The sequence below is a fragment of the Homo sapiens genome, chromosome 6 (assembly GCF_000001405.40).
Source record: "Homo sapiens chromosome 6, GRCh38.p14 Primary Assembly".
Lineage (NCBI taxonomy): Eukaryota > Metazoa > Chordata > Mammalia > Primates > Hominidae > Homo > Homo sapiens.
Window position 1 is genome coordinate 53,878,750 of NC_000006.12, and position 26,134 is coordinate 53,904,883.

Sequence of the window (26,134 nt, forward strand, 5' to 3'; positions counted from 1 at the left end):
TATAGCTATAATTTTGTCAGAGATTTGATGTTTTTATTATTTTTCTTTAATGTGCTTCTGTTGAGAATATAACTTATATTAGGAAAGCAAATATAAATATATTAAAATACTTTATAAGTCTAGGTCATGTTTGAATGGAGGTAGGAATTTCCAGATATTCTCTTGTGAGTGTGATCCATCTTGAGAGTGATGAAAACTGTTAATAATGGTGGCAAATTATAGACATTTTCTCTACTCCTGCAGAGATTCCTGAAATTCCAGAAAGCATTTCATTCTGTAAAGCACTGCAGGTAGCTGACTTCAGCGGAAACCCACTGACTAGGTAAGCTTTCTGCTTACTTTTCTGTCTATACTAGTAAGAGTATCTTTTTTGAGAGCCAAGCGGAGAACACAGTCAGGTTAACCATCTTGGAGGTACCTAGATGGATCACTGTCTTTATCAAGGATGGTTGACTTTCACAGATATTTCTTTATAAATAGCCCTGTACAATGAAAGGCGTACTATTCTATTGATAGAAACCTCAAAGTATGTTGTAGGGATAAGGTGCAGCACAGTGAAGTGTACAAAACAGGATGAGGAGTGCATTTCTGAATCAATGTGAAGAGTTGTAGTGCAACCTCCGCCTTCCGGGTTCAAGTGATTCTCCTGCCTCAGCCTCCTGAGTAGCTGGGACTACAGGCACCCGCCACCATGCCTGGCTAATTTTTGTATTTTTAGTAGAGACGGGGTTTCACCATATTGGCCAGGATGATCTCGATCTCCTGACCTCGTGATCCACCCACCTCAGCCTTCCAAAGTGCTGGGATTACAGGCCGGAGCCACCTCGCCCAGCCATACTATCTTTTTGTCTCAACTTTCCTCTAACTCTGCATTAAAAAACAAACAAACAAAAAAACCCAAAAAACCCATATCAACATCACTATTTCCTTAGCAATAGCTGTGAGGATTTCTTTTTTTTTTTTCCCTGCAAGTAAAGCCACCGTGTCAGTTTTACTACTTATTCCAGCTTTACCCTTCCTGGTATGACACAGTCTGTTGCCGAGGCATGGCTGAGTGGCATTGCTGTGAGCTGTTCCTTATGGCTCCTGGCTTAGTCGTGAGTCCACTCACCATGGGCTTCCAGGCATCTTGTTACTAGGATAACTGAATTGTGCCCACGTGCAATGCAGAGATAGCCCTTGGGCATCTGTTTTAGATGTCTCTTTGGGCCAGGTGGGTCCATTTATAAGATTTCTCAAGAATCTGAGAGGAACCTCAGAAGAAATGCACTCTTCCCTTCTTTTCTGTCTTTTTTCTTTTGATCTAGGAAAAGTAAGATTAAACTAAAATTTCTGAGTCATCTCACCCACTTCAAAATTTCTTGGGACTTCTTGGGTATGGAGTGCTGGAGAATGCACTATTTAGTTTTATTTTTCCAATACCTTCTTATTGCCAATAAATAAATGTTTTCTTTTTAAAACTATTTCTGCTTGTCCTTCTTTGAATTGTAGTGATTAAGTTGCATGTAACATTTATTACTGAAAAATAGTAATCTAGTAAGCTATACCCTAATAGCTTTCTTACTTATCACTGTCCCTCCAACCTTATCCTCTTTCCCCACCATCTTCCATTCAACTGTCTCTTCTCTTAAAACCTTTCTATAGCTCCCATCTCTATAAGATAAAGTCAGAGCTCCTCTATGTGCTATGTGAGCCTCTTCTTGCCCCTCCATCTGACTTTGATATGTCTCTCCATCTTCATTGACCTCAGTTACCTGTGCTGGACATCAGTCTCTGCTGTAACATAAAGTGCTTCTAGTTAGCTCATTTCATGCCTCTGTCTTCTTGAGAGTTCCAGCCTTTTCACCTTCCTTAAGTTGCAGTTTGAGCATCACACGTTTTCCAGAAGGCTTTCCCAATTACTATCCACAGGCCCCTCCTCTGGGCTCCCGTAATGCTCTCTGTGTACTTTTTTCATAACACTTGAAATTTACCCTTAAGTTATTTCTCTGACCAAGACTCCTTGACTAACCTAAGGAAGTTACTTGAATTCCTCTATTATTTATTATTGTGTCTTCAATGCAACTGTCATTCCTGGAATGGAGTAAGTGCTCAATAAATGTTTGTTGAACTGGACTAAACTTAAGGCAGCCTACAGGGTTTGGCAAGCTGGGAAATACTCGTTATGTTGCTGTTGGGTTTTTTTTAACCATTCAGTTGCGTATTCCTTTTTTCTATTTCTTTGATTTTCCTTTTCTAATGTCTGCTGACATTTGACTTTACTATTATTTCAGTGCTCTCTCAACTGGAACACACCTAGCTTGTGTGAGGCTTTACTGTTTTGTTTGTTTGTTTTAATTCTGGCTTTCTATTTGGCAGGTTTCTTAAAGTAAAGCCATTTTAATTTGGCAGGTGTGCTGTTTTTTAAGAATTAAGATGACATCTGTGAGTTGAAGAGACCTTAAAAATGATTTAGTTTGGCTTGCTTATTTTATGGCTAAAGAAACTGAGGCACATGTAGGCTAAATTACTTTTCAAGATCATACAGCTAATGAGTGGGAAGCTCGGACTGCAGTTCGTTTCTCCTAACCTTGGGTCTGTACTTCCTCATCACATCTAGTTTAGCCCTTAGGTTAACAGCCAGTAAAATAACACCTATTTAAATCAAAACTATATTTTTCTTATGTTTAAGAACATCTTAGCTAGTTTTTAAATTATAAAATGATATATGCTTTCTGGTTAAAAACTCAGGCAGAACAGATAAGTTGCATCTTTTGAATTATAAGTAAAAATCTTACCTCTGTTACCTGTTCCTCAGAACAAATTCCAGTGATTATAAATATTCCAGTTAATACCCTGATCTTGTGGGTCTGGATTTGGTTTTGAAGTTTGGAATTAACCTATATTAAATATCAAACATAATGTTATGTAGGCCTTTTTTAAAAGGAACCTAGAAAGATAAAAATGGAAGATTCTAATCTAGAGACCATCACTAAAGCCAGAAATCTCTCCCTCAGTGAAAAAAAGTGATACTTAAATGTTCTGTTGTCTTTATTAGCAGATTTATGTTTAATAACCTTCAGCATTTTAGATGCAATGAGATCCTTTGCCTTTAGTTAGGTTTTCCTTCCCTCCCTAAATATGGAAACCATAGAAATATTGAAACTAAACTTTCTTTGTAAATTTTAAATCATGATTTTATTTTAAAGCCTTGTTATTCTGTAGACTTTAAGGGACATATAAAAAATATCCCTTTGTGTAGAACATAGTAAAACATAAAATTATTTCAAGTGGTTGGCAACTTAAATAGAACTAAAAGAAAAATGTTAAGAAAGTAGCAGTTGTCGCGGTGGCTCACACCTGTAATCCCAGCAGTTTGGGAGGCCAAGGCGGGTGGATCACTAGGTCAGGAGTTTGAGACCAGCCTGACCAACATGGTGAAACCCCGTCTCTACTTAAAAATACAAAAATTATCTGGGCGTGGTGGCGCGTGCCTGTAATCCCAGCTACTCAGGAAGCTAAGGCAGGAGACTCGCTTGAACCCGGGAGGCGGAGGTTGCGGTGAGCCGAGATTGCGCCACTGCCCTCCAGCCTGGGTGACAGAGTGAGACTCCATCTCAAAAAGAAAGGAAAGTAGCAATTGTCTGTCAGTGGATCAATAAGTATTCCATAGCTTTCCCCTGGGTATTATAAACTACAGGAAGAAAAATTATGCAGTAGCTGTCCTGTGTTTTATTATAATCTCATGGGCTGATGAAATTTTCTCTTTAGTTTCTGCTAATCAATAAAGTATTTTTACTCTTAGGCACTTTTAGCTGCAGCAATAATTCATCATTTTCTTTCATAGAGTATTCAGTAGTCTCAACATTTTTTTGCCTTTATTCTTAGAGCTTGCATATCTTTCTACTTTAATTATTTCTAGATCACCATAACAATGTGTTTATCATGCCCCTGTACATCTATTATGTATACGAAGTCTTGTTTTTTCCTTACAAGCGTCTTATATATAGGAAGACAAGGCAAACATGCCATATATAATGTCATTTTTAGGAGGTTATTTCAGTTAGCACATAGAATAAATCATTATATTTATGCTTGGTATACACTATACATGAACTTTTTTAATTTACAGCGTTTTGTTTGTTTGTTTGATTTTAGGTTGCCAGAAAGCTTTCCTGAATTACAGAATTTAACATGTCTTTCTGTAAATGACATCTCACTACAGTCTCTACCTGAAAATATTGGCAAGTAAGTTTTTTTGTGAAGTTTGGGTGGATCAGGGTGAAAGGGGGTTTATATCATCAGCTCTAGCCTCCTTCCCTTTTAAAGCTCCTATTTGTCTACTCAGAAAGCCATTTACTCATTCTTTAATGTGACCTTCAAGAAAGATTATAGCCAGCCTCCTATGTTTTTGCATCTAATTTTCCCTAAATTTTATTGGTTAAAAAGGGTACTGCTACTTGTTACTAGTAAAAACCCTAAATTGTTTGGAAGTGCTCTTTAAACTGATGTATGGCAAAGTAGTTAATTTAAGCCAAGTACTATGTGTCATGTAGGTGGTCAGTAAATACTGGTAGAAACAACCACTCAGTAATTTTAAACCATGCTGGAGAGCCAACAAACAACTCCATTAAAAACGAAAAGTATGTGCCCCTAAAGAACAGCTATGTCTGACAGTATTTGTGAACTGTGGATCCAAGAATAGGGAATGAGAATGGTGTATTTGGAGAGTGGGAGTGGAGCTGGGAGAGGAAAGGAATGATATGGGCACATTCCATGTTGCCGGCTTAGAGGTTGTGGAGAACCTAGTCATGGCAAGAAATAGAATCCATTGAAGACAATGTATGCTGGTGAATAAATGTTCTGTTATACATTCCCACAGACGAACTAGTTGAATTATCTTTGCAGACTTTTTTCACTTTTTCAGGACATACAGTAGGTTAAATCAGGTTGATGCAGTAGCTCATGGTTAACCACTTAAAAATAAAAGTCTGACTTGTCTACCCTAACCTGGTAGACCAGTGTTCCCTAGCATCATAAATGATTTTCCTTGTTTGTACCTGTCCTGCGTAAGTTCTAAGACAGAACAGAAACTTGCTCTTTGAGAACCACAGTAAGCAGTTGAGCACAGTCTGACATGTCTGTTTTGCAAAAGTTCTCTTTCCAGAGGTTTATAAGAATATTTGCAGACAGCTTTTCCCTTTCCTTTCTATCCTCTTCAGGCAGAAGACAACTAGCTGACACCTGTTCAGCCAGCAAGTTGGTGTTTTTCTGAAATGTACACTGATGTTTTATCTTTATGCCATTAGACTTGCTAATTAAAAATTCTGCCCTTAAACTCTCAGGAGGAGAAGAAGACAGGAAGCCCTCAATACACTCTAGGTGTATGGTATCAGTTGCAGAGAAAACAGTGGTATTTTATTGTGAATTTCATGCATGTACAATTCACTTTTGCTGTATCAAGTGTCAGATATTTATAATGTAACAATTTTTGTGCTGGGCATGGTGGCTCACACCTGTAATGCCAGCCTTTTGGGAGGCTGAGGTGGGAGGATTCCTTGAGCCCAGGAGTTCAAGACCAGCCTGGGCAACATGACGATAACCCATCTCTACAAAAACAAAAAAAAAATTAGCTGGGCCTGGTGGCCCAAACCTGTAGTCCCAGCTACTTGGAAGGTTGAGGAGGAAGGATCACTTGAGCCCAGAAGGTTGAGGCTGCAGTGAGCCATGATTGTGCCACTGAATTCCAGCCTGGGTGACAGAGCAAGACCCCATCCCCGCTTTGCCCCCCCTACACAAAAAAATCTTAAATATAGTAGCTGTTTAAACACCCAAACTAACACTGTCCTCCTCTTGCTCCTCAGGATGTCTGGAGTTTAATTCCCTTATTACTCTCCCTTCCATTCATTCTTAGTCTGCAGCTGCCTAGATGGTTCTCCTTTCTAGCCTCTGATTCCTACCCCTCTCCTTTTTTCCCATTTTGTGTCTTTTTAAAAAGTCTTAATGCTTTGAGATAAAATATATTATTAAACCAGAGTGTCCCTCTCACCCTCTACTGTACTATTTTAATGGAAAGTATTATTTTAGAATACATTTTTTATAATGTTCATTATTATATATTTTCTGTTAATATCTGTACCTGCTTTTGTCAGTGTTCAAGATTTTTTTGTTTTGTTTTGTTTGTGGACTTAATCAGCTTCTGTTACTATTATAGCATTGTGGATACTGATTGTTTACTGAATAAAATGCCACTTTGATCTTGAAATTGACTGATTCTTATTAGGTCACTTTGTGAAATTAAATGAAAAAGAGAGAGTTTTCTATTCTTGGTTGTTAGTAATTTTGTCACCATAGCAAGAAACTGTGATTTCTTCTTCCTGCATGCTCAAGTAATGGCCTGTTCTCACATACCAGAAAGAAACAATCAAAGAACAAATTCTTCCTTGGAGAAGATTGGGCATACCTGGTGTCCAAGACCTTTTGGAAAATGCACTTGAAACAGTGAATTGTTGAGGAAATCTCATATATGCATAAGTGTACTACATTTAAAGCAAATTATTTGAAACTTGGAAGCTTTCCTTGTGGCAAGGCTTCATTCATTTCTGAAAGGATTCCCAAATAGTTTCTTTAGAGCATTTAGCACATTTAGTTAACCAATATTTAGTAACCAGTACAACTTCTTGGAGATGGAATTGTTTTGCATAGAAGACATACCTGTTTAATATTCCACAAAATTTGAAAGAACATGGAATGGCCATTTGATTGCTTGATTCTTACTGTTATCTTTGTGGAGTCTGATGTGGAATCCTTACATAAATTACCTCTGCTTATGTGGTCAGATGGGTAAACCACATTAGCATTGGCCTCTCAAGCTTCAGTGAAGATAGGACTTCATTTCTCCTCTTGGCACCTAGCACAGTAGTTGGCATTAAATGGGAAAGCTATGGATGTCTCAAGGACTTGGGCCTCCTCAGGATGGTCAGGGGTACTCAGACTAAGAGGGGAGGGTAAAAGCCTTTATATAGAGTGAGCAGACTTGCAATGCCTTGAACCTGGGGGCACCTGGACACATCTCTCCCATCATGTGTTTGGTTTGCCTATGGTCAGTTAATTTGAAGAAGTTTTTAGGAGTTGATGGCAGAGCTAGAACTGGACTACGGCTCTCCAGGTCCCAGTCCTGTGTTTTTTTACTACTCTACTCTGCCATTGCCATAGGACAGTTGGTTCCTGGGGCCCTTATGGGCTCAGTAACTTTCTTTTAATACTCCTGGAAATATCTAACAGTTCATTAAGTAGGTCCAAACATCTTAATAAGTGTTTATGTCCTAATAACCTAGTAGCTGTTTGAAAAAAATTATACATATAAGTGGAAAGAATGCATATTTTTATTTCATTCTTAAATATTCCCAATTATTTACAGTGAGTCCTCACATAACATCATCCATAGGTTCTTGAAAACTGCGACATCAAGTGAAACAAAGTATTATGAAGCCAAGTTTACCATAGGTTAATTGATATAAACAAGAGTTAAGTTACTGTGGCATATTTCTGATCAGAAAAACATCAAACTTCCAAGCAAAAACCCAAAACACTTCTAGTATCAAACATTGACATAAATATGAGCTATACATACATTTAAGAAAGGTTAATAAATACAGGTATAATTATTTACCTAATTTTTGGAGAACCAGTGAGGGATGGCAGTTATAATGGTGGTGGGTTAAATCAAGGAATAAATGTTTGCAAAGCAAAAATTTTAAGGAGCACTTCCTATGGTGCAGTTCAAAGACAATCATGAATAGGGTAGGCTCGCTGATTATTTTTGTACTGCATCATTTATTTTTGTGCATTTGTATGATTTTCATACACTTTGTTAATTTTTATTTTACAGTAATTTGTATTCATTCATTCATTTTCCATCCCGCTTATTCCAGTTCAGGTGAATGTTAAAATTTTTTACCTGCCTTGTCTCTTTCCAAACTGGCTGGGGTGTTTCATTTAATGATTGAAATTTTACATCTTTCATCATGCCTTCCCCAATGATTGACAGGTGAAATAGATCCCAGACTTGCAGGTTGTACTCCCCACACAATAAGCACTTTAGTCCTTTGTCTTTACACAGAAGTGTAGTTGTTCATTGTTTAATTTTATGTATATAACTGGTGTATGTACTGGGATCAGCTTGTACTCTGATACTACAGGAACCTTGGTTGTCCAGTTCTCTTTGTGTCTGTACCTACCCTGGCATTGTTCTCACATACCAAACAAATACACGTGACAAGGTACAGAGTATTGCCTCCTTTATTCCACTTGCTTCCAACATCACATCATAGGCAGTCAAGCTCAGGTTCTGGAAGATTTATGCTAGGACCACTTTAGCCTGTTCCTGCATTGTCACTTTTTTGGCCTAATGCGGCTGTACTCAATTTCTAGAAAAAGTTGTTTACAAGAAGCAACTATTAAAAAAAAACAGCTTCTGTTGCTCTAAAACCTTCCAAGAAAAAATAATTATTGTCTATTAATACTGCTTAATATTTCTGATGTAATATTAGGGAGACAATAAATTTATTTTTAAAGAAACAAATGCTTTACCAAAAGAACTGGTAAGCTTCTTCCTTTTTAATAACATTTCCAACATTTATTTTCCTGCCTTTGTTGCCAGTAAGCTTAAAGCTAATTCTGATAACCAGTGAGAGCAGCTGTGTTCTTTTCTGTGCGATGAAGGGAGAGATGATGCTGACAGTCTCGGTGGGGTAGGGACTCTTTGAGGTGCATATACTGTCTCATGACACCCTTCCTCCTGAGGCTAGCTTTACCCATCCTGAGCTTTATTAGCTTCCTCTGTGAAATGGAGATAAGTGATCTGCCCAGGTGTGCATTGCTGGTGGGTGGTAGAGCTGGCATTTGAACTTAGTTTCTTCCTTGAAGATACTGCATTTTCTTTACTGCATGCTTCTCATAATGAACACATTAGTGTCTCCCCTCTTTCATGGCCCTAATGTTGTTTCGTGAACCTTTTTGCATATTTGCAATTTTTAAAGACTTATTTAAATCCCCTTTAGAAAAAAGTTGGGGTATAATTAAGTGAATGACTTTCTATGTCACTGCAGATGCCGGTTGGCATGGGAGAGCATGCAGTGGGGTCTTACTGAGTCGAGTTCCAAGTCTTGGGACAGGATTTCAGAAAACTATCTGAATTAAAAAAATTGATATTTAGATATGCCCTTAAAAACAGTGCCTAGTCAACAATGGCTTTTTACTTTACTATCACTAAAAACACTTAGAAGATTCCACTGGTAAGGCCAGGAAGGATAATTTTTGCTTTAAGGAGTTTTGAAATGTTGGTACAATGTGTGAATGAATTTGTCTTTCAAAAGAACATTTTAATACTGAAAATATTTTTCTTGGGATCAGTTATATCAGTTTCTACTCAAGCCACACACTTTGTGTTTTACTTTTTAAAAATGAGTTACTCTTCAGATGACATGATCTTATATAGAAAGAATCCTAAGGAATCTGCAAAAATTATTAGAGCTAATAAATTAATTCAGGAAGATGGCAGGATACAAGATTACAAAACAAAAATCAGTTATATTTTTATATATCAGCATTAAACAATTCTATTTACAAAACACAAAAAAGTATAAAATTCTTAGGATAAATTTAACAGAAGAAATGTAGGACATGTACATGCTAAGTATAAAACATTGAAAGATTTAAAGAAGACTCAATAAGTGGTAAGATAATGTGTGTTCATGGGTTGATACTTAATATTGTTAAGATAGCAATACTCGACAAGTCGATCTACAGACTCATCTTAAGCCCCATCAGAATCCTTACATATGTCTTAATTGATTTTGACAAAGATATCAAAACAATTCAGTGGAGAAAGAATAGTCTTTTTAACAAATGCTGTTGGGAAAACTATGAACATACAAAAGAATGAAGTTATACTCCTACCTCATGCCAGACACAAAAAGCTAAATCAAAATCAGAGATCTGAATATAAGAGCTAAAACTGTAAAAGTCCTGTAAGAAAACAGGGGTAAATCTTTGTGACATTGGATTAAGCAGTGGTTTCCTAGCTATGACACCAAAGTCTGTGTAACAAAAGAAAAAATGGATAAATTGGACTGCATCAAAATTTAAAACTTGTGTGCATCAAAGAATACTTTCAAGAAAGTGAAAAGACAACCCACAGAATGGGAAAAAATATTTGTAAATCATATATCTTATCAGAGTCTAGTTACCAGAATATATTTAGAACTTTTACAACTCTGTAATAAAAGAACCAACCCAATTAAAAATGGTTAAAGGATTCGAATAGGCATTTCTTCAGAGAAGATATGCAGATAACCAATAAGCATATGAAAAGATGTTTAACAGCATTAGTCATCAGGAAAATGCAAGTCAAAACCACAATGAGATGCTACTTTATACCCTCTAGGATGATTATAATTAAAAAGATAAATGCTAACAAGTGTTGTTCAGGATGTAGAGAAATTGAAACCCTCATATGTTGTTGGTGGGAGTGTAAAATGGTTTAGCCCCTTTGTAAAACAGTTTGGGGAGGTCCTCCTTAAAATTGAACATAGTTACCATGTGACCTAGCAATTCCATTCCTAGCTATGTATACTCAAAAGAATTGAAAACCTAGGAGGGTTATTATTGGCATTATTTATAATAAAAAGGTAGAAACAACTGAAATTTTCATCAGTGGGTAAGTTGATAAACAAAATGTGGCATATGTATACAGTGAAATAGTATTCCTGGATGAACTTTGAAAGCATGTTAAGTAAAAGAACCAGACACAAACAATCACATATTCTATGACTCACTTTTTACAAAATGCATGCTATAGTCAAATCCATAGAGACAGAAATTAAATTATTGGTTGTTGGGTGTTGTGGGGTGGAGGAATGACTTCTAATGAGTATGAATTTTCTTTTCGGTATGATGAAAATTTTCTAGATTAGATAGTGGTGATGTTTCTATACCTCCTGAATAAATATATTAAAGACCACCAAACTGTACACTTTCAAAGGTGAATTTCATAGTTTGTGAATTATATCTCCGTAAAAAGAATGGACCTTAGGCAAATTTGAAGCTGGGTACTGCTGAAGGATGATGTTATACCTGGGAAACCGACCCAGTTTATTCTTACAGGAAATACTCTGTAATGTAACCTTAAAAGTAGTGTGCTAAGATCATTTTGTTTAGTTACTTGCACCTGGTGATCAGGCAGGTACACATAGCCAGAGTCTCCAAAATGCTCAAGTGATGTAGAGTGAGAGTGGAGGTCAAGAGCACACAAAAACTCCAGCGGCAACTGATGGAAAATTCTGAGGTTCTGGGAAGCCTATGATTGTGTCTGGGAGCATGCTGCTTTGTCTTTACTTGATATGCCCTTCCATGAGATTCTGTATCCTTTACCGTTAAAGAAACGAATACCCTCAAATATGTTAGCCTAAATATCTCTACTCCCTGTTTAACTGAGTTGTCTTCTCCAAAAATAGCATTCTTAGAGGAGAAGGAATATATGTAATGAAATAGTCCAGTACCCGAAACAGTTATTCAGTCACTAAAAGGTCATTATCAATAAACATTTAATTATTACAAGTTGCTGATAGAAGTAGAATGAGTAGGCCCTAGGTTCTCTGGCAGATTGAACTAGAGCGTGTGGGTCTGATTTTATGTCTGCTGAGTCTGCTGCCCTTGGGAATGGTGACCTTAATTTTGAGTGAGCTTGAACTAAGTGATCCATGTGGCCCCCGGTCACAAGGCCTAGTGCTAGGCAGCTTACCTATATTATAAGTGCATGCTGCCTAAAAGGAGTAAATCCTTTTTTTGAAAACTATTACCATATTTAATGTTCTTTTTTGAGTCCTGGGAATTACTATAAAATATTTATTATTTCAAAAACAAAAATAAAGATTTTTTAAAAAAAGTTTTCTAGAGCAAAGCCACCGTAAGAAAGTTTGTAACCAGAGGTTTTTGAATTCTAATTTGATGCTGAAAGAGTAGAAGTATTATGAATGTATAAGCAACTCCCCATTCCCCCATTAATAGTTTTTCCCAATCAAATAATGTTGCCATAAATAGTTGTTGTTTTATATATTAATGGGTTTACAGTGAACTGCCACTTGTTTGTTTGGTCTACCTTAATGTGTTTTACTCTTTATTTTCTTAATGATTTTGGCCGCTAAAATGGAAAAAAATTAACTCAAGTGGGTTAAAAAGGGTTTTGAAAACATAGTAGAGAACAGATGTAAATTCCTTAAAGTAACCATTCATCCAGTCACTGAAATAGAATCCTAAAAATACAGTTGGCCTACATTCTGACTTACAAAAGAGTGCAACTTTTGTCCCTGCTATTATGAACAGTGTAAAACATTAAGAATTAGTGTGCTGAGAAGAAATACTTCATGTATTCTCTTCCTGCAGGAGCTTGTTAGGTGTGCTCTCCTGCCCCCCAACTTCCTTTGTTGGTAAAAATGGTAGGAATTGACAGGGAGGATAGAAAGTCATGTTTTTTTTTGGTAGGAGGAGGAAGAAGAGGTCATTCCAGCAGTATTGTGTAGAAATTAATTTGTCAGAAATTAAAATTGAAGGATGAAATGTTTATTAATAGGGTTCTAGTTAAAAAAATAAAGGTATCCATAGACAGTAAGATACTGTGCAATTGTTGAAAAAATACTGGTATGTACAAATAAAAAATGAGACAAAAAAAATCTGGTAAGTGAGGAAAGCAAAGTGCCAGATATATATGTATAGAACGCTACCTTTCTTGTAAAAAAAAAAAAAAGAGGGAGAGAGACTATATACATTCACACCTAAAGAAAGCCCTGCATGAATCCATATGAAATTTTTAAGGTAATTTCCTGTGAAAACGGTTTGGTAGTGGGAAGCTGGATTGATGGGGGAAAAGAAGAAACTCTTTACTGAATATATTGTTGTAAATATATATAAATTGGCCGGGTGTGATGGCTCATGCCTGTAATCCTAGCACTTTGGGCAGGCCTAGGTAGGCAGATCACCTGGGGTCAGGAGATCGAGACCAGCCAGGCCAACTGTCTGGTCTGGTGAAACCCCATCTCTACTACAAATACAAAAATTAGCTGGGTGTGGTGGTGCATGCCTGTAGTCCCAGCTACTGGGAAGGCAGAGGCAGGAGAATCGCTTGAACCCAGGAGGCGGAGGTTGCAGTGAGCCAAGATCACACCACTGCACTCCAGCCTGGGTGACAGAGTAAGATTCTGTCTAAAAAAAAAATATATATATATACACACACACACACACACACACACACACACACACACATACACATAAAAATAAATATGTATATACATAAATATATTATTACCTATTTGCAAAATTGACTTACCAACTCGAGTGAGAGGCAGCACAACATAGTGGTTAAGAATGCAGATTCCCTGGTGAATCCTGGCTTTTCTACTTGGCAATTTTGTGAGACCTTGTTCAAGCTTCCTCTCTGTGCCTTAGTTTTCTCATCCGATAAGTTAATTCTCATAAAGAAGTTATAACGAAGTCTGTCATAGAGTAAGTTGCCAGTATTATTATTATTAGTAGTAGAACTATTAAAGTGTTTAATTTTTAAAATCGCATTTGTAAAAGTTTTAGAAATGCCTGATTCTTTCTCGTATCTCTGTAATACCATGTTTAACTGAAATAGTGGATAAAGGCCTGTGGAGGTTGGGTCTCCCTCTGTCTCTCTTGACCTTCTGATTAAGAGCTTGGGCTCTTCAGCACACAGGATTAGGTTTGGATCCCACTCCCGAAGCTGCTCAGGAGCATGTTCCTTATGGGGTGCTGTAAGAGATGTGAAGATATTTGAATTCAATGGGTTGCTTTGATGGGACAGGGACTTGATTGAAGATACTGTATTCTGAAAGACCACAAAAGGAGATTATTCATTCATTCACTTTTGTGTTAATGTCTCTGTTCCAATTCTGCATTTAGGCTGATTCTGTTTTATGTCAGCTCTGTTACTACAACAATTTGGAGAGAACCATGTTCTGGAGTGGGCTGGTTGGGTTCTACATTTTGGTGAAGGACTGTCCAAGGCAAGCTACTGATGTGAACCAAACCCATAGTTTCATTCTAGAATCACTTAGTGATACTTGGAACTGAGAATGACTTGTCCAGATTATGCTGTGAGGTTTGGGCTCATACAGGAGGTAGGAGTCTATAGTCAGAGCCTTTGTTTGCTTTCTATTTCTTCCAGTCCAGTTACAGACAATGTTTGATGAGTTAAAAATTGGCCAATGCCAGATGTAGGGCCTGTCCTTCAAGGAGTTTTTTAGTAGTGGAGATGACATCCGTGATTAGCAGCATCTTGTAGCAATCTTTCTGAAGACCCTGACTCAAGGCACACACATTTGTAAGGTACCTAGCTGCACTTAGGGACAAAGGGTGTCTTGAGGAAATAAGGCAAGAAACTGGCTCTGTTAACTTGAAGGGAAAATGTATTATGCTCTAATTGCCATAATAGATATGATTATATTTATTTTAGGGAAAATCGAGATTCAGCAGTAAACACCTCAGGCAAGCAAGCCTAGCTAATTAGTGAGGGACAAGCAGGATTCAAGCCTGGGCCCCAGGCCTCTTAGATTCCATGTGCTCTTTTTAGAGTGGCTTTCATCGGTGGCTCTATAGAGTCTGATTATAATATCCAAGTTTCTTTATTTTAAATAGTTTAAAATAATTGGGGAAGTATTACCTCAGAATATAAGGATATTCTTTTATATACAGGTTGAGCACTCCAAATCCAGAAATCTGAAATGCCCCCAAATCTGAAACTTTATGAGTGCCGACCATTTGCTCAAAGAAAATGCTCATTGGAGCATTTTGGATTTCAGATTAAGTATATTGCAGATACTCCAAAATCCAAAATTTGAAACACTAACAGTTCCAAGCATTTCAGATAAGGGATACTTAGCCTGTACTTTGTTAATTTTTACTTTTGAAATATTATAAAAATATGATATTTTTTGTTGTTGATGTATCACCCATACATCCACATTTTCTTTACTTCCCCCAAACAGTAGAAACTTAAGAGGTTTTGTAGCCAGAACTTTTTTACTTAGCAGGATATTATATCTGGGTGTTAGCATGATGGGGGTGGGAACTAGGGCATTTCAGCAGTATTTTTGCTCAAGTGTTGTTTGCTTATAGTAACTGTAGCCTATGCCATTTGCTCTGAAGACAAAATTTAAAGATAATTTTAAAATGTGTATCACATTCTTAAAATAAAATCAAACAGCAAAAATTCCAGTGTCTCTTTTAAGAAGGTAAGACTTATGTATATACCTAAAACTGAGAGGTGTTTTTAAAATTTAAATGAGAGAGTTTTGAAGAACAGAGACACCTGGAGATGCCTCAGTCAGTGAGGGTGAGGGCAGGAGCTTTGGCATTTGGCCAGGGTTGAATTGTGGTTTTGCCTGTTTCTATCAAGTGGGCCTCACACAAAACCTCACGGTCCTAATCATGTCATGGTAGCATCATCAACTTGCTGGGTCATTACTAACCAGATGAGATGGCTCACAGAAGGCGCCCTGCACAGCTCCTTCTGCCTTAGCAGGCTGGTTTCTCCCCCTTGGCTCTGGTCTATGTTTCAGGCAGGAGATGCTGAGAGCATGGCTGTGGAAACTTGGCATAACACTCAGCATGAGGCTGTGTGAAACTGCTTTGCAAGATGCTTTCAGTGATGCCCAGTGAGTCAAGTTTTTGATGCAAAGAAGGACATTTTCCTTCTTTCATTAGTGGGTGTCCTTGGTTTGTTAAAATAGGTGTGAAAGTAGTGGATTACCGAAGAGATAAAATGACAATCCTAACATTCATTTTAAAAATTTAAATGTGAAAATAGCTGAGGGATTACTGTCTTCTTAATAAAACTGGTTAGGCATTACATGGAAATTTAAAACTGAAAACAAAGCCCTTTGTTTTTAAATTTTTACTTTTCAAGTAAAATTATGATTTACAGATTATTTACAGATTGCTTTTGGAAGGAGATACTGGGTGGTGTACATCTCATCCTCCTCCCCTTCCCTTTGTTGTTTCTTCTACGTAAACACTTGGTCAAGAGAAAGTAGAACTAGAGAACTGCAACTCCGCACCAAGTTACATTTGATTTGAAGAACGTTGGTGTTAATTTCATGGTGACATATTAGCGGGGAGTTTTTTTTTCTTTTTTTTTTTTTTGAGATGGAGTCTCGCTCTGTCGCCCAGGCGTGATCTCAGCTCACTGCAAGCTCCGCCTTCCAGGTTCATGCCATTCTCCTGCCTCACCCTCCCAAGTAGCTGGGACTACAGGCGCCCGCCACCACGCCCGGCTAATTTTTTGTATTTTTAGTAGAGATGGGGTTTCACCGTGTTAGCCGGGATGGTCTCGATCTCCTGACCTCGTGGATCCGCCCACCTCGGCCTCCCAAAGTGCTGGGATTACAGGGGTGAGCCACCGCGCCCGGCTGGGAGTTTGTCTTTTTAAAAAGAAATTGAAAGTTTTGTTCTTGCTTTAAGTATGAAAATTATTTGGTTTTGTAAAATTGGAGAAGGAGATGCAGGATTTTTACATTTCATAATACAGTTAAAATATATTTTCTGGCAAACAGGTTTTAAGCATGTATATACACTGTTCATTTAAATTTACATTTCTGGATGTTATAAAACCAGCCTTGTTAGTACACGTGATTCTGGCTTTTTTGTTGGAAGGAGGGAGAATGGAGGATTAAGGCAGATTAGAGTGTTGGGATAATGTCTGACTTTTTGTGTTCTGTGTGCTCAGAAATGAAATTCCTCCAAATCTGGATGTTACTATGGTGATATTAGCAAAATGTGACTTTTTGGTTGGTATAGTTTAGTACAGTGCTTGTAGGGGCAATAGACTGTGTCACTTGTTTTCTGAATCAATATGTTTTGCCAGTGCTGACATAACTTCATGAGGGTTTCTGGTGATGCAGAATTGCCACTGCCTGTCAAGATTTGCCCCATCTGTCAAACATCTGTCACATTCCACTGTGCTCCTAATAGACTGGATTACATCCAAGAGGCTGGAGAATCTGATGAAGAGAGCCTCATTCTAGGGTTTAATCCAGAATAAAAGCAACATTATTATAGCTACCATTTATTAAATCAGTCCGTGTTCCAGGCACTGTGCAAGATACATTATGACATTATCCTGAATGCATTTAAATGAAAGTTACTTCCTTAGCGCAGCTGCCACTTGATCCATGAATTTATGATCATAAGTAGATCAACTTGGACTCTCTGGACTGAGATGTCCCCTACTTTAAAACAGGGATGATCTCTCACTGATACTGGGAAGAAGAGCTCTGAGCTCTGCAAGACTAAAGGTGCTACTGTTTTATGGTAACTGCATTTTTGGCATTTGAAAGTCTAGATGCACACATTCAGCTTCTGTCTCAGTCCTGAGAGTGGTTGTGTTTTATTGGCTGATGAGTTATTTCCACATATCACATGTACAAGGTATTTGAATGAAGGTGCTTTGTAGTCATGACACACTACTCTTTTATTAATTATTAATATCTTAAGATTACAATTTGAGAGGTAGAGATGGTATTGTTTTTAATGGGTGTGGGGGGTGGTGATGATAGGTATTTTTACCCTGGTAAGTGACCTACTAGGTTTTATTAAGTGTTGCAACTTGTCCAGTGTGTGTATGGGGGAAGGGAGGTAGGAAGAATCTCAGGAATTTCTCTTATGCTTTTTTTTCCTTCTGTTCATTTCTAGTCTTTATAACCTGGCTTCACTGGAACTGAGAGAGAATCTTCTTACATATCTTCCTGAGTGAGTCTTTGGGGAAAATAAGAGGAGATTTTGTGCAGAATGAATTTAAGTATTTAAAAAAACAGGACTACAGTATTACGTGAAAACATTTGTGTGTTTTGGGAAGTTTGGGGGATGCCAGCCGGCCTTTTCTTAACAATCCTTCCTGTGCAATATTTTCTACCATAAAAATAAAAATGGACCTTATTTTTGAAGCTAGTCCAAGTGAGGGATACTATATTGCTCAGCATTTCTAAGTATTCTCTAAGTGCTCTTTATTTATTTTTTAAAATAGCTCTCTTACCCAGCTGCGAAGACTAGAAGAACTTGATTTAGGAAACAATGAAATATATAATTTGGTAAGTCCGTATTAGAGATTTGAATTTAACTTTGTTTTTAGTTATGATCACACAGTATTTGGGGGAGTTCTATAGGGATCTTTATGAAGCCAGTATTTCCACAGATGTAACTTGGGGACACTAGAGAACCAGCTTTATTTCACACAAGTTAGGAATTATGATTCATGGGTGGGGGAGGTCAGGACTAGAGATGATGGACATAGGTGGAAACAACTGGCATTCTTGGGGAAAGTTTGGGCACTTTGAGGAAAGGGGCTGGATGTTAAGAGAAGTACCAGTGAACATCTGCTAAGGTACCCAGTTGTTAACAGATGAATTCAGTTTCTTTCTTTCTTCAGGGAAGACTGAAAATTGAATCTTTGTTACCGTAACTTTTTTTTCTTTTGTTTTAGCCAGAATCAATTGGAGCCCTCTTACATCTAAAAGATCTCTGGTTGGATGGAAATCAACTGTCAGAATTACCTCAGGTAAGTGGTAATTTCACAGTGTCTCCCCAAAACATAAAACAGCAACAATAAGCTTTGTGTATTTCCTGCTGCCACATAAGGTTTGCTATAAAAGGATCTTGAAAACCAAAAACATTGATTGAAAAGGCACATTTGGAAAAAACATATTGAGCATGCATCATTCTCCATTGCCATATAAAAACTGAAAACCTCAACCCACCATTTGTAAATATAGTAAATATTTCCTTTAGTTTGTAAAATCTGTATTTTATTGTGTCCTTGCTACCCATATAGCTTACTTCAAGCCCAGCAGATTAGTAAATTGCCAGGACCCATGATTCTGATGGTATACCTTTCCGCCACTCCATGATGTGCCAAGTGCTTTGGGATAATTTGACCATGTTTTGCCCCATAATAACTCATGTAAAAGCAATGTTAAATGCTTTTATTTCAGATTTTTTCCAAATGTTGCTTATGGTTTAGCTGGCATGTCATGGTGTTCAGGCCTTTCCTACTGTTCTCAAGTGGAAGAACCATGTCCCAAATGAAGCGGAGTCTTGTATAGACTTCTGAGCACATAGTCATCTTGTGGAGTCTTAGCAGACAGGCCTACATTCTAAGACAGAAACTGAGAAGTCTGAAACAAACAAAACCAACAGGCATTTTCCTCTTGTATTTTTTTCTCCAACTATTACTGAATTTTATTCTTTGATGTCTCTCACAGCCAGTTTTTCATGTGACCAGTTGTAAAGGGCTCTGTATTTTCAGTGGGGAATGCCATATCAATGCAGGGAACCCTAATACTAGAAGAAAGCACTTTAGTAAATTTTTAGTTGTTATAGCACTGAAGTTTCCATGATGTCACCTAATGACTAATGGAACTAAGGAACTAATTTAAGTCTGTTTATGAGATCTTGGCTACAGTTGGGAAAAGGAGACAGATTAGCAACTCTTGTGGGTAGAGTTCGATTCGTACTTAGATTTCTCTAGGAAATATGTGGGAAATCCTGGTTGAAAGGATGCTAGTTACTTTAGAAGTCAAAGGATGGGAGAAAACTATCATGACATTATCAGGAAAGTAATAAAATATCTGTAGGACATAAAGGGGAAAGGAAAGAGGTGTGTATGTTCAGATGTGTGTAAATGACTGTGCAAAGTGTGATATTCTAAATACAAAGAAATTAAAATTCCAATGATTGTGCTGTAAATGATTATTTAAAAATCTCATTTGCTCCTATAGTATAAATTTGTGTTAAATCAGCATAAACACACCAAAAAGTCTTAAATAATTAGAATGATTTTTCTTATCTTCAATGATGATGGAAAGAGAAAGATACAAAGGCATTGTTAAAAGGAATTAATGAAAAGTAAAACAACTTCAGGGATCTGGCCTGAAATTAGTATAAATCTAGTCTAGTTTCCTTTAGACAGGAAATACAGGGGCAGGATCATAAGGCAATATCAGGTGGATGATAAGCTGGAAAGAATAGATCAGACCAAATTAAATATAGATGGAGGAATTTGTACTCATGTAGACATCAGGGAGCCACAAGATGTTTTTTGAAAAGAAGGTGGTCCAATTATAGGACGAGAACTGGCTGTGTTTCAGGAAGGAAATGAGGAAGCACAGTTTATGGAATGGTCTCAGGAAAGGGGAAGTTAAGACTAGAGCCCAAGAGGCAGAGCTGACAGTCAAGGTAAAGGAGTAATGAGGTTAAGATTTAATATTGGGAAGTGGAATGGAAAAGTGGAGTCAGTGATAAGAGAGAAAGCTTGCACTTTGGGAATAGAAGAAAAGGTAGGTCTTGAATAGAATGTTAGACTCATGGAGGTACTTTACCTTATCCTGGTAGACTGTTTTCACTAAAGGCAGTATGCTGCTTTTAATGTTAAAGATACAGATAGGTATGTATGTTCCGGTTTTGCTGGGGAGCAATTGCATTGATGTTTGTGCTAACGAGTGCTACCTGTCATGGAAGGAAAATACAAAGTAGGTAGGTTCTTACCAGAGGAAATCCCAGGGTCACCCTGCAGTGTAAGCTGCTTACTAGAGATCAATTCCGAACTTGAAAAGCTAAATTCTAGCCTCCTTTTTCTTTTCTAATTGTGTGACCCTGCAGTCGTTTTTTCTCCTGTATCTTCACCTATTAAGTGGGAATGATTCCTTGCCTGCCTGAAAGGTGGAGGGCTTTGCATCCCTCCCAGCTCTGGGTCTGTGATTCATTCAACTTCCCACTTTCATTGGAAGGGGATCTAGGAATTTGCCCCTGCCTTCACATTTGGATTCATGCTAAAGATAACATCCTTAGGACCGCCCTGGGATTTAATTGTGAAAAATCACTGGAACAAATGCCTCTGCACTGTGGCAGGTTTAAGTGTGCGTTTATTTTTCCATGTCATTGTTATAGGAAATAGGAAATCTGAAGAACCTGCTGTGTTTAGATGTCTCTGAAAACAGGTTGGAAAGACTTCCTGAAGAAATCAGTGGCCTGACTTCATTAACGGATTTAGTCATTTCCCAGAACTTATTAGAAACGATTCCGGATGGCATTGGTAAGCATTGGAAATCACTAACTGCTAAACATACTGCCTGCCGTCGTCTTGAGGGTTTGGGGCACACTTTGATCCTTTGGTCACCACTTTCAGATGCTGAGGATGTGGCTCCTTAAAGTCTCCTTACTGTTTTTTTTTTTTTTTTTTTTTTTTTTTTTTTTTCTGAGATGGAGTCTCGCTCTGTCGCCCAGGCTGGAGTGCAGTGGTGCAATCTCAGCTCACTGCCAGCTCCGCCTCCTGGGTTCACACCATTCTCCTGCCTCAGCCTCCCGAATAGCTGGGACCACAGGCGCCCGCCACCACGCCCGGGTAATTTTTTGTATTTTTAGTAGAGACGGGGTTTCACCCTGTTAGCCAGGATGGTCTCGTTCTCCTGACCTCGTGATCCGCCCGCCTCCGCCTCCCAAAGTGCTGGGATTACAGATGTGAGCCACCATGCCCGGCCTTGCTGTTTGTTTTTAAAGAAGGAAAGCAAAGAGTATTTATTACAGCAGAAGTTTCTCTACATGCAGATGTTTCTGTCATCCTGGCTTGGTATCTATTACTGCTGTCGTTACTTTTAAGCATCGATTCATCTCTACTTCATCTGTATCTTCTCTCAATGATTTCATGAGGGATTACCCCAAATAATAAAATGTATTTAAGGCATATGAGCAGTCACTAAGAAATTTCTAATTTGGCATCCTAATAGTTCATGAGAAAATGACTGACTTATTCCATGACCTAAGGGAGGTGCTGAAAGAGTGGCGTAATTGAATTGAGCCTTTTTTAGTACATCGATCATCCTTTTATCATTCTGTGCTATTTTCTTTTAAAAAAAAATCAATCTAGACATTTTCTTTACTATGAAGGAACTTAGTCCAGTGTGAGAAATTAAACGCAGAGAAAGTATAAACAGATACGGACTTGGGAGCTCCATTGTAGCAAAGCCACTTTGAAGTTGAAAGAGACTGTATTTAACCATGGAGTTATCGTAGGATTGCTGTCTTTAATTTTATGCAGAACATCACATCAAAAGAAGTTTTTGAAAGGTTTTCAATAGTTGGAGAACTTGTATGGCAGAAGACCACTCCCTCCGTGGTATGTGGTCAAGATGAAAATTTCAGTAGAAATTCAGACATTGTGTTTTGGTTAAACCCAGCTGGAAAATCGGTAGGGGTTTTGGCTCTATGCGAGATGTTCACTGAGAATCGTTTATGGCATCTGAAAAGGGTTGTAGAGACTGGGCATGTTTTGTTGCTTGGAATAGGAAGCAGCAGCAAGCATGAGGCTGACTTCAAACGTTTAAAGGACTGTCTTCCAAAGAAAGAGATGTATTACAGCTTTCTGATCAAATGGGCAAAATGAAAGTATTGTGAATTTCATTTAAGAAAGAGCTTTAAAAAGCAAAGATGGCTGGGCATGGCTCACACTTGTAATCCTAGCACCTTGGGAGGCCAGGAGTTTAAGACCAGCTTGGGCATCATAGTGAGACTTCCTATCTACCAAAAATAAAATTATTAGCCAAGTGGGGTGGCACATGCCTGTAGTCCTAGCTACTCAGAAGCCTGAAGGGGAAGGATTGCTTGAGTCCAGGAGTAGGAGTTTGAGGCTGCGGTGAGCCGTGATTGTACCGGGGTACTCCAGCCTGGGCAATAGAGTGAGGCCCTGTCTCTTAAAAAAAAAAAAAGCAAAGATATGTTACAAATCAGTTTGGGCTGCTTAGTGAAGAAATGAGTACCTTGTCACTAGAAGTATTCAAGGAGAGGCTAGAAGACTAGTTGCCAGGAGACTTCTCTGTTGGGGTGAGATGTTTCGGTGCTTGGCTGTGCTATTCAGCATACCCTGCAGAAAATGCTAGTGGATCTCCTGACCGTGAGGGCAGGTGGAAACCCTCCAGTGACAGTGTTAGGCTATTGATTATGCTAAATAAAGAGCTTAAGAATTGGTTCCTTCTCCTATCTTGCCCTGTGGCTGCACCCGAGGCAAGATACGCCTTTCGGTATTTTTCTTTCTCCAGCTTTATGACTGTGTTAGAATAGAGGATGTTTTCTGATGTAGTGGGGAAAGTGTCAATGTGTTAGCCACTCAGTAGAGAATGAAGGGCGCCTGCTCTGTGGGCTTAATCCCATGACTTGTTGAAGTGAGAATCTGAATGACTTTACTAGTGGCTAGTGGGGACTCTGAGGAGGCTGCAGTAAGACTTGCTCTTCTTTCCCATGAACAGTGGGTATCACCAGGACGTCAAGTCTTCCTGGCCTGAGTGAAATAGACTCCATCCTTAATATGGCTTTCCAGAGGTTACCGCTTTATTCTGCACCTGTAGAAATACCGCACTGTAGGGATCTTCGTTGAGTCATTTTCATTCATAGGTGATTTAATAAACTATTTTTTTTTTGTTTATTATAAGGATAATGCTTGGAGTAAAATGAAAGTCTCCTCTGTGCATGAAACACCTCCACGGAGAGAAAGCTGTTTTGTTTTTCTGTAAATTTCTTGGCTTTGATGCAATGTTTTTATGCTTTTTAAAATGTTTTGTTTCTTATTGCTGACCGTTTTTGATGTTCTAAACAAATTATTTTAACTCCCAACCTTCAGTGATCTAAATGATAGAGTTTCATAATGTGAAAAGCTAGATGAGGAAAAAATAAGTAACTGTTTAAAACAAAAAGAACAGCAGATAGGAAATTCCAAGCAGTGATTATGAAAATAATTGTAACTAATGAATTTGATAATAATAATCATAATGCTTTTACAGGAAAACTAAAGAAACTGTCAATCTTGAAGGTGGATCAGAATAGACTCACACAGTTGCCTGAAGCAGTTGGGGAATGTGAAAGTCTCACTGAGTTAGTTCTTACAGAAAATCAGCTCCTGGTAAGTGTGGTTTGCACATATATCATAAAGACTTACTAGGGTAGATTCTACTTAATTTGTAATTTGAGTGGACTAAATGGAAATTTCTTCATATTACATCCCAAAACGGTCTTACAAAGCAAATGCATGACCTAAAGATCAGTTTTTAACCTGCTTAAGCAAAGAAAGTGGTGCTTAGGTTTCCCTGTTGAGCCTGTGTCCCAGTTGTGGTGCTTTGAATATAGAGACTGAACAAATGCCTCACAGATGTCTCCAGTGAGGTGTGGGGATAAGCTACTCTCGTTGGATGTGTTGATGCCCCAGCTGTGGTGCCCAGAGACCACCACTGGGAATATTCATCAGGATTCCTCTGGCCTCTCTCTGGGTTCTTTGAGCAAATGGGAAGAGCAGGAGAGAAGAGGAACGAGATGGACGTTGGCCAGGAAAAGCCTTGGCAGGATGGGGGCTGGGAAACGCTCTTGATCAAGGAGCCAGAGGATGGCATCTGATGGGCTCTGGTTAAGGCTGCTTCTTATTAGAACTTGGAAGTGGAGGGGACTGGAGGGGTCCTCTACCTGGACCAGGCTCCCACCAGACAAGGGCAGGGGCAATGCGTGCACCCCCTGGCAAAGGGTGGGTGGGCAGGGTGGCAGCAGATCTCAGTCGTCTTTTCCTGTCCTGCTGCCCCCTCTGCTTTTGTCAGCCCTTCAGTTGTCACTTCTCCTTCCCCCACTTTTAGTTGTCATATAGCACTCTCTTTTCTTCAGTTTACTCTCCTACTTTTCTCTTTTCTCCATCTTCATTTTGTCATTTTTTTTTTACTCTCTTTTCCCTTTTCCTTTTCCTTTTCGCTTTTCCTTTTCCCTTTTCTCCTTTCTCTATAAATAGAGTAAGTAATGTTCTTTAGGTGGAAAGAGCAGAAGGGACAGCAAGAAAGGATGGAGTGCACAGATGTGGGTGGGGAGCCCAGCAGCCCCTCTCCTCAGACAGCTGAAGCAGCCAGCCTCTGGCAGGTGTGGTGGGAGTTACCAAATCTTCCAGTCCTGCTTTGTGATTTTAGGCTTACAAATAGTAATCATAACAACTGTAAAAATAATATTCACCCCTGGATTGCACTGGAGTGTTGAAGACCCCCATGTGGGTGCCAGCCTGGTTCTGGTAGAGCTCTGCTCCCCACTCCAGGATGCTCACCTTTCTCCCATCCCCATAGCCCTTGCCTTTCCCTGCCCATGCGGCACCCTGCTTCGGGTGCTGATTCCCTGCCCCAGTGCTCTGGCTTCCACGGACATCTAAGCCACTGTCCCAGTGTGGTCCTTGAAGGTGCAGGCAGGGCAGGAATGAATCTTGAGGGTGCAAATTCTCACTTCCTTGAGTTGAACAGCATCTTTTTCCCTTTACAAGATGATTCCCTGTTCCCAGGTCTCTACTTTTGACTTCATTCCTTTAAAACAGACTTATCATTTCAACAAAAATTCAAAATACTTAATGTCGCACCCCCTAAGGGAACATTACAAATATCTGATATTCAGCAAGAACTATTGCTTCTGTTGCTGGATGAGATTATATTCTTTAGGTCCTTGCAAAGATCTTATTTACTGTGAGCCATGTTAAAAATGTGTGTTAAATTAATAGTGAAATTGTTATTTTAACAGACCCTGCCTAAAAGCATTGGAAAACTAAAGAAGTTGAGCAACTTGAATGCAGACAGAAATAAATTAGTGTCCTTACCAAAAGAGGTATGTGCTTTTAGAGAAATCACATGATAATAATTATGAAGAAATAATAATAATACATAAGGGATCAAAAATGTCAAATGCTTTGAAAAGACGCATGTGTTGTTTTTTAAAGGTGTGAACTCTAAATCTGTGAGTATAGAGCCAACTGGAGGAATTATGTCAAAGAATGATCATCAGTAACATTAAGGAGAGTTGGAAAAGGTGAATTTATAGGATTTTAAATGGGAGAAAGAAAGAGATTGACATTTTGGGTTTGATATACAGAGAATGGTGACACCATTGGCAGAAATTGATAATTTGGGAGTTTGACAGAGGAAGTGGATGCCTTTGGGTTTGATTTTTGAATTTAATGTGAAATTAAGCTCCATCCCATAAGCAATTGGAATTATAAAAATTGATCTTGATGCAACCATATTTCTGG

At 38.4% G+C, this 26,134-nt stretch overlaps 1 protein-coding gene across 5 annotated transcripts in view; it reads left to right on the plus strand.

Moving 5' to 3' along the window:
• The window catches only part of LRRC1 (leucine rich repeat containing 1), a 129,121-nt gene that overhangs the window by 83,745 nt on the left and 19,242 nt on the right, over window positions 1–26,134 (plus strand). For all 5 annotated transcript variants that reach the window (XR_007059279.1, XR_001743505.2, NM_018214.5 and 2 more), the window contains 8 exons: window positions 244–322; window positions 4,138–4,227; window positions 17,749–17,805; window positions 18,080–18,143; window positions 18,536–18,610; window positions 20,998–21,142; window positions 23,880–23,998; window positions 25,630–25,713. Coding sequence is in view for 3 of the 5 variants with exons in the window: in NM_018214.5 (NP_060684.4) it covers window positions 244–322; window positions 4,138–4,227; window positions 17,749–17,805; window positions 18,080–18,143; window positions 18,536–18,610; window positions 20,998–21,142; window positions 23,880–23,998; window positions 25,630–25,713 (713 nt within the window). In the remaining 2 variants the exon portion in view is untranslated. The remainder of the gene's footprint in view (window positions 1–243; window positions 323–4,137; window positions 4,228–17,748; window positions 17,806–18,079; window positions 18,144–18,535; window positions 18,611–20,997; window positions 21,143–23,879; window positions 23,999–25,629; window positions 25,714–26,134) is intronic.